Raw genomic sequence first — 15,091 nt, forward strand, 5'->3', positions numbered from 1 at the left:
AAGCTAGCAGAAGACAAGAAATAATCAAAATTAGAGCTGAATTGAAGGAAATTGAGACATAAAAGATTGACAAATCCAAGAGTTAGTTTTCTGAAAGAATAAATAAGATTTAGAGACTTCTGGCTAGACTAATAAAGAAAAAAGAGAAGATGTAAATAAACACAATCAGAAATTACAAAGGGGACATTACCAGTGACCCTACAGAAATACAAAAAATCTTCAGACAACTATGAATACCTCTGTGCACACAAGCTAGAAAACCTAGAAGAAATGGATAAATTCTTGGAAACAAAGAACCTCCCAAGATTAAACTGGAAAGAAACTGAATCTCTGAACAAACCAATAAGGAGTTCTGGAGTCAAATTAGTAATAAAAAGCCCACCAACCAGAAAAAGCCCAGGACCAGATGGATTCATGGCCAAATTTTACCAAATAAAGAATAACTGGTACCATTCCTACTGAAACTTTTCCAAAAAATTGAGGAGAAGTAACTCCTCCCTAACTCATTCTCTGAAGCTAGCATCATCCTGATACCAAAACCTGGCAGAGTCACAACAAATAAAGGAAACTTCAGGCCAATATTGTTGATGAATGTAGATGCCAAAACCCTCAACAAAATACTGGCAAACTGAATCCAGCAGCACATTAAAAATCTAATCCACCATGATCAAGTAGGCTTTATCCCTGGGGTGCAAGTTTGGTTCAACATATGCAAATCAATAAACGTGATTCCTCACATAAACAGAACTAAAAACAAAAACCACATAATCATCTTAATAGATGCAGAAAAGACTTGATAAAATTGAACATCCCTTTATGTTAAAAATCCTTAATAAACTAGGCACTGAAGGAGCATACCTCAAAATAATTAAAGCCATCTACAAAAAACCCACAGCCAACATTATACTGAATGGACAAAAGCTGGAAGCATTCCCCTTGAGAACAAGACAAGAACATACCCACTCTCACCACTCCTATTCAACATGGTACTGGAAGTCCTAGCCAGAGCAATCAGGCAAGAGAAAGAAAGCATCCAAATAGGAAGAGAGGAAGTCAAACTGTCTCTGTTTGCATATGATATAATTCTATACCTAGAAAATCCCATAGTCTCTGCCTAAAAGCTCCTACATCTGATTAAACAACTTCAGCAAAGTTTCAAGATATAAAATTAATGTACAAAAATCAGTAGCATTTCTATATGCCAACAATGTCCAAGGTGAGAGCCAAACCAATAACGTGATCCAATTCACAATAGCCACAAAAAGAGTAAAATACCTAGGAATACAGCCAAACAGGGAGATGAAAGACCTCTACCACAAAAATCACAAAACTCTGCTCAAACCGTCAGATTTGACACAAACAAATGGAAAAACACTTCATGCTCATGGATAGGAAGAATCAATAATGTTAAAATGGCCATACTGCCCCAACCAATTTAGAGTCAATGCTATTTCTATCAATCTACCAATGGTATTCTTCACAGAATTAGAAAACTATTTCAAAACTTACATGAAAGCAAAACAGAGCACGAACAGCCACAGCAATCCTAAGCAAAAAGAACAAAGAGGTGTCACACTACCTGACTTCAGACTATACTACAAGGCTACAGTAGCCAAAACAGCTTGCTGCTGGTACATAAATAGACACAAACCAATGTAACGTAATAGCCGAGAAAGAATGCCACACACCTACAACCATCTGATCATCAACAAAGTCAATAACAATGGGGAAAGAACTCCCTATTCAACAAGTGGCTAGCCATATGCAGAAGATTGAAAATGGACCCCTTCCTTACATCATATACAAAAATCAGCTTCAGATGGATTAATAATTTAAATGTAAAACCTAAAACTTTAAAAACCTTGAAAGGCAACCTAGGAAATACTATTCTGTAAAGGGCCCTGTCAAAGATTGCATGACAAAGATGCCAAAAGCAATTGCAACAAAAACAAAAATTGACAAATGGGACTAAACTAAAGGGTTTCTGCAAAGCAAGAGAAACTATTAACAGAGCAAAAAGGCAGCCTACAGAATGGAAGAAAATATGTGCAAACTGTGCTCCTGACAAACGTCAAATATCCAGAATCTATAAGGAATTTAAACAAGCCAAAAACAATCCCTTTAAAAAGTGAGCAAAGGACATGAACAGACACTTTTCAAAAGACATACACAAAAGCAACAAGCATATTAAAATATGCTCAACATCACTAATCATGAAAGGAATGCAAATCAAAACCACGATGAGATACCTACCGTCTCACACCCATCAGGATAGCTATTATTAAAAAGTCAACAGATGCTGTCAAGGTTGCAAAAAAAAAAGGGAAGACTTCTACACTGCTGGTGGGAATGTAAATTAGTTCAGCCGTTGTGGAAAGCAGTTCGGTGATTTCTCAAACTTAAAACTATCATTCATTCCAGCAACCCCATTATTGGGTATATACCCAAAGGAATGAATATAAATTTTTCTACTCTAAAGACACATACGCATCCATGTTCATCACAGCACAATTCACAATAGTGAAGACGTAGAATCAACCTAATGGCCTGTCAGCAGTAGCCTTGATAAAGAAAATGTGGTACATAGACAGTATGGAAGCCTATGCAGCCATTAAAAAGAACAAGATCATATCCTTTGCAGCAACATGGATGAAGCTGGTGGCCATTGTCCTAAGCTAACTAATGCAGGAGCAGAAAACCAAATACTGCATGCTCTCACTTATAAATAGGAGCTAAATATTGAGTACACAGGGACACAAACAAGGGAATGACAGACACTGGAGCCTACTTGAGGATGAAGGGTGGGAGGAGGGTGAGGGTATACATATCAGATACTATGCATATTACCTGGGTGATGAGTAATCTGTACACCAAGTGCCCATGATATGCAATTTACCTATATAACAAATCTATACATGTACCCCTGAAACTAATAGTTAAAAAAAACTTTTGTAGTTTTAGTATTTCCATTTTTGTCTTTGATCTATTTTGAGTTAGTTTTTATATATGGCATGATGAAAGGGACCAACTTCTTTCTTTTGCCTGTGGCTATCCAGTTGTTCTAGCGCCATTTGTTGAAAAGATTGTTCGTCCCCTCATTGAATTGCTCTGACACTTCGGTCACAATTCAATTGGCCATTAATTAACAGCTTCTTTGTGCACTTTCAATTCTATTTCAATGATCTATAAGTCTATCTTCATGCCAGTACCATACTGTCTTAATTATTGGATCTTTGTCATAGGTTTCAAAATTGGGAAGTATGAATCCTCCTATTTTTTTTTTCAAGATTGTTTTGGCTCCAGAACTGTGGGAAATAAATTTCTGTTGCTTAAAATCTGCCCAATTTGTGGTATTGTGTTATAGCAACCAAAATGGACTAAGGCAAGCAGCCTTCCATAAGTTTTGATATGTTGTGGTTTTCTTTTTTTCATCTCAAAGTATTATTTCCTTTCCCTTGTGATTCCTTCTTTAACTCATTGGTTATTTAGAAGTGTGTCTTTTAATTTTCACGTTTGTGAATTCCTGAAATTTCTTTCCATTACTGATTTCTAATTTCATTCCATTGTGTCATAGAAGATTCTATGATTTTCATCTCTTTAACATTATTGAGACTTCTTTCTATAGCCTAACGTGTGTTCTATTTTGGGGAATGCTGAGTGTTTGCTTGATGCAACGTGTGTTCTGTTGTTTGGTGGAGTGTGCTATAGATTTCTGTTATGTTTAGCTGTTTTATAGTGTTGTTCAAGTCTTCCATTACCTTGTTGATCTTCTGCCTTGTCAGCCTATCCCTTATTAAAAGTGGGATATTGAAATTTACAACTATTACTGCTGAATCTAATTCTTCCTCAATTCTATTAATCATTCATGTATTTTGGGCCTCTGTTATTAGGGACATACATGTTTGTAATTGTTATGTTTTCCTGATGGAATGGTCATTCTGTGATTATAAAATGTTCTTTTTATCTCTAGTAACAATGGTCTTAAAGTCGATTTTTCTGTTAATATTATAGCCACTCCAGCTCTTTTTAGGTTACTGTTTGCATAGCAGATCTTCTTCCTTCCTTTCACTTATTTGTTTTTGAATCTTGAGTGTCTTTAGACTTAAGCTCCAAACCCATTCTTCTTCCTTCAGTAACTGCTAGGCTGCTGTTTTTACAGTTACCATGGCTGTAAGGCTGTTCACTTTTGAGACTACTATGAAACTGTGGAGAAGGGAATGGGGATAGGGCAAGCTAGAATGTCACAAAGCTTGCTGTTTTTACCAATAGTCAGCTGCTTTTCTTGAAGAAATGCACCTCAGAGTGTTGTATACCTTTGGCTAATTTCCACAATTCTGAAAAAAATTGATTTTGACTATTTTTGCCAGGATGTTTATTGCTTCTTATGGAAAAGTCTATTTTTGGAGGTCATTACTCTACCATTCCAGAAATGTTTCCCTAGAATCTGAATTCCCACAAGATCCTCAGATAGTTGTAGGCACATAAAAGTTTGAGAAACCTTGGTTTATAGGATATCACCTGTCCCTAAATTTTCTGGATATCTTCATTTGAAGTTATCAGGTGACCAAGGAATCTTCCAATTGGTTTGGATTCTAACTGTATATAGGTAATATCTAATATGAAAAGTTTATATTGTCAGATCCTACAATGATTAAAAAAAAAAACAGCCTCTGTCTACCTTTGTGCTTATTTCTGGAAATGTTTGTATGAGCCTTGATCATTTTATTTGATTGTCACTCATTAATTAACATAAAAGTTTCCACTTGGTATAATTTTTTGGCATCTTCTCACCAAACATGGGTGTTGCTGGCTATTCTAAATGAACTCAGAATACCCTATCTCCTGACCCAAGGGTAGCCTGTTTTCTGTGACAAAGTAAACAAAATAGTTTCTTCCTAGCTTTTGTTTATTTGTTTGTTTCCTGAAAGAGCCATTGTGTTTCAAGGAGAAGAAGAAGAAGAACGGAACAGTTTGCTTCCTTGGAGTGCAACTGTCCCCGGGCTGGTTAGGAGGTGTAATGTGGAGCAAAGGCCGTGCGCTGAGAGGAAATATGGCCTGGTTTCCCTCTGCCTCATCCTGGGTTCTCCTCTCACCATTTCTACTCATCTTCTTACACATCTTTCTTTTTCCTTCTTTCTTCCTATTTCTTCCCCATTTGTCTTATTCAGTAAGAACTCATTTATTGGTCAGTTCACAGGATTTTCTGCTTTTCAGAGAAATTTTGGAGCAAAACTTGATTTCCTTTTCTGATCTGTGACCCTATGTCCTTTCTGGCCTTGTCTGCCTCTCTTAGCCTGAACCTTTCCCTTTTCTCTTTCCTTATTGTCCCAACATTTTTAAGTAAAAAAATTATGTTGAGAGCACATCTCTTCCTCTTGGACATGGATGTAGAATTTGCCAAATTAACCACTCATGTCCATCCTTAATGTCCTACAACCAGGCCACTCTGCCATTAGAGAGAAGCAACTTTTTTTTCAGTATAGAAGAAAAGGAGGAGTTATGCTTCAAAGGAGAAAAATACTTCACCACCTCAATTGCTAATTTTGCTGAAGTCTTCAAAAATAACAAAATAAAATGTAAATCAATAGCTGCATGAAGAGGAACAGGCACTAGAACCGAGCTGTCTTGGACAAGAAGACGGGTGGGTACTGCTCAGGCTGAAATGCATTGGCTTGGATTTAACATATAGATGAAGCACAGCTCGGTGCCTTTAGCTGGTAAGAATCAAATCGTGAGGCTAAACACTAAATTAGCTGTGTGCCTGTACCTCACAGCAGAGCCAAAATGAGGCACTGTTTTTTTATCCCTGCACCTTCCGATGCCTGCCAAAAAGAATTCAAGCAAGGAAAAATATGCCTCCTGTTGTTTGGGGGAGTTACAAGATACATTTAAAAATTGATTTATGGTTTAATCGCTTTTGAAGCTTCATTATTCCAAGTATTAGCGTGAAAGACCATCTGATCCAGCAGACTTATTTGTTAATGCACCGACAGCAGCAACAGATGTGCTGTTTTTCATCTACAACCCGATCTGCTGGCTGATTCATCTGCTTCCGTTTTCATTTTCCTGTCATTGATTTATTAATGATGTCTTACTTATCTGTGGTTCTTTTATGGGGTGGGCTTCCTCTGGCATGGTCTCAAGAGAGATGTTTTTGCACCTTCCCCAGGCATCAAAAACCCAGCCCCCTTCTCCGGTGTTCTTTATCACCACTCCAGAGATTAGAGACTTTAATCATTTAGTAACTGAAATAACCTCCGTGGCTTGCAGAGTTTATGGCCAATTTGTCTTCATTGCACCGAATTCAACTGCTTTTCTTTGCTAAGGAATGGGCCTTGCTTATTATGCTCCTTCTTTGCACCAGAGGGAATCAGTGTGTTGTCTACAGACCCAATGCAGATAGTGGGTGGCTATGAGTGGCTCAGGACCATGAAAGTATGGCTCAGAGAACACATGTATGTATACCATAGGGCTATTAGCATGTTGAGTTGCTTAGAGTTTGGCTGTGGCTTTCAGCTCCAAGTAGCAAAGGAAGGGTAGACAGGAGGGTTGAAATTCTGGGACCATTTGCAGGACCATCACTGGGATTGTCTACTCCAAATGCCACATGGACCCCTTTTGTTGTCTATGTTAAAAAGGAAAAAAAAAGACCTTGGTTTGTTTTGAAACCTGAGACCCCTAGAAAACTTAAGATGCTGGGTAATTGAGACTTACAAAGATGTATTTCACCTAAATTTTACCTGAGAATCTGAAAACGATGACTTGTTATGCAGTTAAGGTTTGTAAAACTCCATATGTGTTAGGTAGGTCGTTGTAGACGATGTCATGATTCTCTGTCTAGATCCTCCCAGCAGCCTCAAGCACTCATTCCATCTCCCCAAGGCTGACAACTCTTAACTAAGTCCTTGTTTGGGACTTGTTCTGGGTTAAAGAGAGCCAGTCACCTTGACCAAGGTTACACTTCCTTCCAAGGGGCAACCCTTACTGGGTGCCTGCCCCACTCATCTCAACTTGAGACCACGCTGCAGGGCCATCCTGGCTCCAGAGCTCGCCATGGGATCAGTGAGGCCTCTGTTGTGGTAGCATCGTGGTTCATCTTCTCCCTTGGCCCAGTTCTGCTTCCTTCACTGTCCTAAAAGAGATGGTCCCCAGAGCAGTTCCACTTCCTAATAAGCTTTTTGTGGGCAAAACTGTCTCAGATTTTCTCAGGGATCCAAACCTGCAACAGTTGGTACAAAGAGTGATAAATCACCAGAAGTCTTCCTTTGCAGCATATACAGAGACTCATCTCCTGCAGTTGGAGAGCTGATAAACTGAAGGACGGCCAAGGGCTTAATCAAGAAAGTAGCAGAGCTCCAGAGAAGGTTGCGTTCTTAGCCCTGACAGGTCTGCTGTGCTAAGGCCTGGAGTGGGACCTGGGCCTGGGATAGGTATATCTGGGTTGGTGTACTAGAAAAGTGGGAATTTCCAGATTCTTCTGAACCCTCTGGGACCACAGTTGGGTCCCACTGCTCTTTGTTAAAGGCTAATGCTCCTCCCTTGCCTGAAGATGTCACAGAGGTCTCTGTTTTACAAGGCAACATGCTCCTCCTCCCCCAAATCCGCTCACAGCTTCCCTCTTGATCAACAGGCATGTGAATAGGGTTGAGTCATACCTTGACTTGTTTGGGGAAGCAGTGGGTCTGCTGGAAAAGAAAAAGGCTGCACTGGAAAGGGGCTGCAGGACCTAAATAACACATACTGGCAAAAGCCAGGATACTACCCGTAGGACTGGATTCTGCGAGTTCTGGATCCTAGACAGAAAATAAAGTTGGACAAGGGAGAGTTTAGGGATATGAGAATCCTCTCCCATGATACAGAATATAACACCCTGACAAGGACCCCAAGAAAACAATCTAAATGCTGCTATGATGTATCTTGGAACTTGGAGAAATAGATGGCTCATACTATATGAAGTGGAAGTGTCAGAACTACCATGGAAAATGCCAGAGACAGGACCAAAGGACTCAGAGAAGCAGGCATGTTGGAGTGGATATGCTATTTAAGGCCAGAAAGTCCTTGGAATATGCTTCCTCTAGAACTTGTGTACTCATACACTGGGAAAAAGGGAATACCCAAATATTTCAGAGACAGTTGGACACAGAGTCTAAGCTGATATTGACACCTGGGGAGCTGAAGTGTCATCTAGACCGCCTGTTAAAGTGTAGACACATGGAGTCCAGATAGTAAGTGAGGAGCTGGTCAGGTCCATCTCTTAGGGTGTCTACTGGTGCACAGATCCACCAGGAAGTCTCTTTCTCAGCCCTGGAATGTATAATTGGAACAGATGTAATCAGTGATTGACAAAACACCCATGTTAGCTCCTTAGCTGTGGGGTAAGAGCTATTAATGCAAGGAAGGCTGAATGAAAACCATCTCCTCACCTCATTGGCCAAGATAGTAAATAGAAAACAACTTCACAACTGTATTAGAGTTCTTCAGAGAGAGAACCAATAGTATGTACATATAGATATGTGAGAGGCAATTTATCAGGGGAATTGGCTCACATGATTATGGAGGCTGAGATGTCCATGATGTGCCTTCTGTAAGCTGGAAAACCAGGGAAGCCAGCATCGTGGCTCCATTCAAGTCTGGAGGCCTCAGAACCGGGGAAGCCGATGGTGTAACTCTGTTAGAGACCAAAGGCCTGTGAACCTGAGGGCTACTGGTGGAAGTTCTGGAGTACAAAGGCCAGAGAACCAGGGATTCTGATATCCAACGGCAGGAGAAGGAGGATGTCCCAGCTCCAGAAGAGGGAGAAATAATTCACCTTTCCTCTGCCTTTTTGTCCTATCTGGGTCCTCAGCCAATTGGATGGTGTCACCCCCATTGGGTGAGGGTGGATCTTCCTTAGTTCACCGATTCAAATGCCAACCTCTTCCAGAAACATCCTTACAAGCATACCCAGAAATAATGCTTTACCAGCTATCTGGATATCCTTTAATCCAATCAACACCCAAAATTAACCATCACAACAACCAAGGGGCAATGAATGTCAAAGACTAGTGCAATTTTTAAAGACCTAAAAGGATGCGGGGGGAGGAGGAGAGTGGTCCCCATCATGTCCCAACTAATGAGCCAGTCTGCCCCCCTACAAAAGGCAGACAGATCTTGAAGAGTGAAACAGTGGATTACTGTAAACTCAACCAAATAGTAGCCACGATTTGCTACGATGATCAACTTGGTCTTGAGACACAGTATGTGGCTTTTAATATGGATAATGTGGGGTTTTTTTGTTCTAGTGAGAAAGGAAGATCAGAAATAGTTCGTGATCACTTTGGACAGACAAAAGAATACAAGTGTGATCTTTTCCCAGGACTATGTTAACTCTCAAACCCTTTGTCTTAAAGTAAGGTGGAAGTGGTGTATCTGAGAATTGGCACAAAAAGGGCCACAGGGCGTAAGTAGGCTGCACGAGCAGGTGGCCCAGATCCCTGTGGCATCCACTGAGAAACTGGTGCTTCTCCCTCAGCCACATGGGGGATTCTGTTATGACCACCTGACAATGGAGAGTAAAGGTCAAATTTGGTACATGGGTGGCTCAGCTCAGCATGTAGGTGTAAGCTGGAAAGCCTCACAATGGGCACAGCTTTGGGTGATTCACCTGTCTATCTATTTTGGGTGAAAAGAATAGTCATCTGAGGTTGGAATCTTTTTTTTTTTTTTTTGAGATGGAGTCTCGTTGTGTCACCCAGGCTGGAGTGCGGTGGCGCGTTCTTGGCTCACTGCAACCTCCGCCTCCCAGGTTCACGCGATTCTCCTGCCTCAGCCTCCTGAGTACCTGGGACTACAGGCACACACCACCACATCTGGCTAATTTTTTGTGTATTTTTAGTAGAGACAGGGTTTCACTATGTTGGCCAGACTGGTCTCGAGCTCCTGACCTTGTGATCTGCCCACCTCGGCCTCCCAAATTGCTGGGATTACAGGCGTGAGCCACCGCGCCTGGCCTGAGGTTGGAATCTTTATAGACAATGATAAATACTTGGCTGGTTGGTCGGGGGCCTGGAAGGAGAAAGATGAGAAGATTGAGGATAAGGAAATCAGAGGAAGAGGGGCCACAGAGAGAGAGGATGCCCAATGCAGATGGGGTGTCACCCTCCAGGATGCTGGGTATACTCTAAATCAACAACCATTAAATGGCAATGCAGAAGTGTAAAGGTCTGGCCTGCTCATCCCAATTCAGGAGAGCTCTGCAGGGTCACCCAGCCCCAAAGTTCCCTGTGGGACTCACTGAAGCTTTTTGGGCTGTATCATGGTCCTTCTGCAACTGCCCAGTTCTGAGTCCTTCATACCCCCACAAGTGTGATACTGAGAGCACTCCCTAGTAAACTACCTGCATGCAAACCATTAGATAGATTGAAGGGTTCTGGGGACCGAGAGGTGGAAGTAGGAGTGACCCTGCTTTCTGTCACTCCCAGTGACTGACTTGGAGAATTTGTGGTTTTTGGCTTCACAACTCTGGCTTTTGTGGTTCAGAGGTCCTGGTTCCCAGAATGGAAATGCATCCACCACAGGACATAGCAAGTAGCCCACTAAACCTCAGACTATGGCTTCCACCTGGTTGTGGCAAGCTTCTTATGCCAGGCAAAGAGAGGAGTCACCATTCTAGCTGGAATAACTGACCCTGATCATCAGAAGGAAGGAGAGCTGGAAAAAGTGAGTGGCACCAGGTGATCTGCTTGGATGCCTCCTGACTCTCTTGCCCCACTTTGATGAGAAATGAACAAGAGCAGCATCCATGGCTTGAGAAGTACATAGTGACCAGGCACCTAAGCTACTCGGGGATGAGAGTATGGACCACTCCCCAGGTAAACCATCTAAACCATTACGGCACTAGCTAGAGAAGATGATGGGGATCTAGAATGGATAGTAAAGAGGAGAATGGTGAGAACCAGTTATACCCCAAGATCAGCTGCTGTGGCAAGAGTTGTAGTTTATACCACTAACTTTTGTCTTAAAAGTGTCTTCCAGCCAGGTGCGGTGGCTCACGCCTGTAATCCCAGCACTTTGGGAGGCCAAGGTGGGCAGATCACGAGGTCAGGAGATCGAGACCATCCTGGCTAACACGGTGAAACCCCGTCTCTACTAAAAATACAAAAAATTAGCTGGGTGTGGTGGCGGTTGCCTGTAGTCCCAGCTACTTGGGAGGCTGAGGCAGGAGAATGGCATGAACCCAGGAGGCAGAGCTTGCAGTGAGCCGAGATCAGGCCACTGCACTCCAGCCTGGGCAACAGAGCAAGACTCCGTCTGAAAAACAAAAAAGTGTCTTCCAGGAAAAAAGATCCCTCAGTATCTTGGGGGAACTGCTGCTGGAATGTAGTGTATGAAGCCAGAAAATGGGAGCAGTGCAGGGGAGGGCTGCAGAGGACACAGTGGCACACCACCCAGATTGTAGCCCGCAAACCTGAGGCTTCACTCTCCCTGTGTTGGAGGCTGACTCTCCTCATCCAAGTGCCTTTCCAGGACAGGCCTGAAGAAAGCCACCCGGACCAAGGTCACATTCTTCTCTCCTGGGCAGCCCACATTCAATGAGTGACCACGCAGGAGTGTTAAGACCTGTCCTCCTCACTCCAATTCAGGACAACTCTGCAAAGCCAGCCCAGCCTCAGAGCTCCCAGTGGAATAAGCTGAGACTTTTGCTTGTGACTACATCACTGCTGAGTTTCTCCCACTGCCCAATCTGGCCTCCTTCACTCCCCCGTGGATGGCACTCCCCGATAAGCTACCTGCATGCAATCTCCATCTCACATTCTGTTTCCTGGAGACACCACCTGAGATCATCGCTGCAGGTGTCTTCATAACTGGTATTTGTATTTACAAAGCTCCATACCACTTTTAATCTGACAGGTGGGGTAATGCAAGCTCAGCCAAAAGGGAAACTAAAAAAGGGAAGAAGCTATTTTTTGACCTGTCCCTTAATAATTCAGTGGCCAGGTCTTACATGGGCCATAGGCCTTCTCTGTCCTCAAAGTCCAAGGTCGGTCCTTTGTCCTGGTGGGTCACCAGGGCCACTCACACTCTGACAATGAGATCGTCCAGTTCTACACCTACCTCCCTCTTTCTTCTGACCCCACCTCCCACCACTGGCATATCAGGACTGTATTAAGGAGTGGTGGGAAGGGATAGAAAAGATAATCTATGAAACAGATCAGTCGGAAGTTAACAAGAAGATTGCTAATCAGCTGCATCGCTGTGAAGTCCAAGCTCTTTGCAAATGTTCTTCCACCATCCTCCTGCAAGCCCCCATGGAGTGGGATCCATGAGGAAATCCTCCTGCAGACTTCTACTCCAGTGCATTTTGCCTTTGTAAATTAAAGTGTGCAATTTGCCCTCCTTGTGTTTGGGAATGTATCAGGTCTGAAACCTAAATCCTTTCAAGTGAACCAAAACTTCTCTCCACCCTAATGACACCAGAAGTTGACTGCTTCATGCAACCTGCTCCCCTGCCTCCCTGCCTGCAAAAGGGTGTGCTGTTATTGGGGAAGGTGGCTGCTTAATGTCTCAGAAGAGCTGGAACTTTAATGGCCTCAAGTCTGAGTTTCCACTAGCCTCCTCTGCACTGCTGGGTTTTCTTTGGGAGTCTTCAGAGATCCCTGAACAGTGACGGTTCATCGGCTCTTCTGGACCTTTCTTAACTTTGTGCCTTACATGCGCTCTGATTCAGTTCAGAGTTTGCTTTGCTTCCTACCTTCCTTGCTCCCAAGCCCTCAGGTTCATCTCTCATGCTCTGCCTTACTCTTTTGGGCTAAGCAAATGCAGGGCCAGGCCTGCGGATTAAATGTTGTGGAGACTTCTTTTAACTTTTCCATTTTAAATTTCAGCCTCACTTAATTGAATTGCAAAGTTAAATGTCCATGAGACGGGAACAGAGCAGCTTTAAGATTGGAGAAGGAATGCAAAATTCAAATTCTCACAGCTTCTTACTGAAAAATATCATGATCCACTTGGATGAAGCCAACACTGTTGGAAATGCCACTCCCACGCTGCCCTTGGCTCTGCCTGTCTGCAAGGACTGATGATTTTCAACTGGAAGGACCAGCCACAGCCAGTCCCCAAGCTGATCAGAACAAAGCTGAGAAGTTTATCCAGGGTTCCTTACCTATCATGCATGAGACATAGAATTAAGCTGTCTGAGAAGTTTATCCAGGATTCCTTACCCATCATGCATGAGATATAGAATTAAGCTGTCTGAAGCTTGGTTGCTGCTTAAGGAACTGCTGGTCTCTTGAGTAACTCTCTTAGTGTGTAATCCATATAGCAGAGAGATTTTGCCCTGCCTCATCAACTCCTCTTTCCTCCTTGGCCTGGAGCTGCCCCCTAGTTCAACACCATGACAGTCTGCTTAACTCTTTCTCCCTGTAGAGCTACATACGTTTTTACCCCCATTTCCTCCTATCCTAGCTTTAAGCTGTTCTGCTTCAATCCACACAATGGATGTGGATTACATTCCTTCTTGGAAGGTGCAGCTACTACCCAGGTGCTAAGGGGTACTTCCTTCATTCAGAGATACCATCAGTTAGACTTGAATACTTACTACTTGAATCTACCTGAAAAATAATAGTGCCATACTGGAGTGAACCCACACTTCCCATATTCCCAACCCATTACTTTTGGGGGACTGGTCATCTTCCTCAGAAGCAATGCTATAGCTGGATCTTCTGTCTGGTCCTGATCCCTACCAATTCCAGCCTGTTTTCATTTCCTTAACAGTGCACTACTGAGGGCCTTGGGTTACTTGCAGCTGATCCACAATTGACATACAAATAACTTCCAGTAGGGATAGAGCTTGAAAATATGCTCCCAGCAATCTTACCTAGGATTGTATTGTGCAGTTAGACACCAGGCTGGGTTATTATGCTATGCTGTGAGGCCAATGATTCTTATATATATTTCCCACTCCAGAACCTTTTAAAGTCAGAGATCACTTTACATGAAATGCACACCTGGTCCAAAAAAATGCCATTGAAATGCACCTTGGAAAATAATAGCTTAACGTGAACAATTCAAGTAAAAGCTGTCTTTCTTTTCCTCTTGTGAAAGCCATAAGAATTAAGTTTCATGTCTCCAGTTTCTGCCAGTATAATACTGAATTTAAGTTCTTGGGGATATTAGTTTAAGTAATGTACTAACTACTTCTGAAGGCTGAATTTCTAATGTATCTCAGAAACTGGATATGGGAAAAATAGAGTTTTATCTAGACGTGCATTTATTTCCAAAACTGGTGAGGCACAGCAGTTGAGTTCTCACTGGAGTGACCCATGCGAGACCTAAATATCCATTTCTGTCTGTTACATATTTTTATGTGCCTTAGGTTTTACAAAAATCCCTTGCTCCATATTTACCCAACTATAGAATATAATTAGAGTTTGACACTCACCTCCCCTTTGAGAAAAGGAACTGAGAAAATTCAGTTCTATGAAAGTTGAAATATTTTGTAGATATTTGTTTAATAAATATTGTTAGAGAAATTTTTCTAAATGGAATAGACGGTTTTTAATCCTAACTGGAATTCAGTACTTTTCAGCTACAAATCTGACATGATGTGATTGTGATTGGATTAGTTTCCTATTGCTGCTGTAACATTACCACCAGTTTCATGGCCTAAGACCACACACATGTATTATCTTACAGTTCCAGTGGTCAAAAGCCCAAAATGGGTCTCACTGGGCTGTTGTCAAGGCATCAATAGGGCTGTGTTCCTTCTGGAGGCTCTAGGAGATAACCTGTTTTCTTGCCTTTTACATCTTCTAGAAGCTTTCTGCATTCCTTGGCTTGTGGCGCCTTCCTCTGTCTTCCCAGCCAGCAATGGCCAGTCGAGTCTCTCTCATATCATATCACTGACAATGATTGACCTGTCATCCTCTTTCACTTATAAACACCATTGTGATTACATCGTGCCCACCCCCAGACAATCCAGGATAATCTCCCCATGTCAAGATCACAGCCGAGCATGGTGGCTCACACCTATAATCCCAGCACTTTGGGAGACCGAGGCGGGTGGATCACCTGAGGTCAGGAGTTAGAGACTAGCCTGGAGCCTGGCCAACAT

General features: G+C 42.5%; 1 long non-coding RNA gene across 1 annotated transcript in view, besides 1 other annotated feature; it reads left to right on the forward strand.

Annotated features, from left to right (window-relative positions):
* Positions 1-15,091, forward strand: part of LINC02284 (long intergenic non-protein coding RNA 2284) — a 116,044-nt gene that overhangs the window by 95,826 nt on the left and 5,127 nt on the right. The window lies entirely within an intron of this gene.
* Positions 6,851-8,050: an enhancer, noted in NCBI's record as "CDK7 strongly-dependent group 2 enhancer chr14:56880383-56881582 (GRCh37/hg19 assembly coordinates)". NCBI's record gives its function as "activates an origin of replication core promoter dependent on BRD2, BRD4, P300/CBP, MED14 and CDK7 cofactors, with strong dependence on CDK7, by STARR-seq in HCT116 cells {active_cell/tissue: HCT116}" and the evidence as "EXISTENCE:reporter gene assay evidence [ECO:0000049][PMID:35650434]".

This window comes from Homo sapiens, chromosome 14 (genome assembly GCF_000001405.40).
Source record: "Homo sapiens chromosome 14, GRCh38.p14 Primary Assembly".
In the NCBI taxonomy this organism is placed as follows: Eukaryota; Metazoa; Chordata; class Mammalia; order Primates; family Hominidae; genus Homo; species Homo sapiens.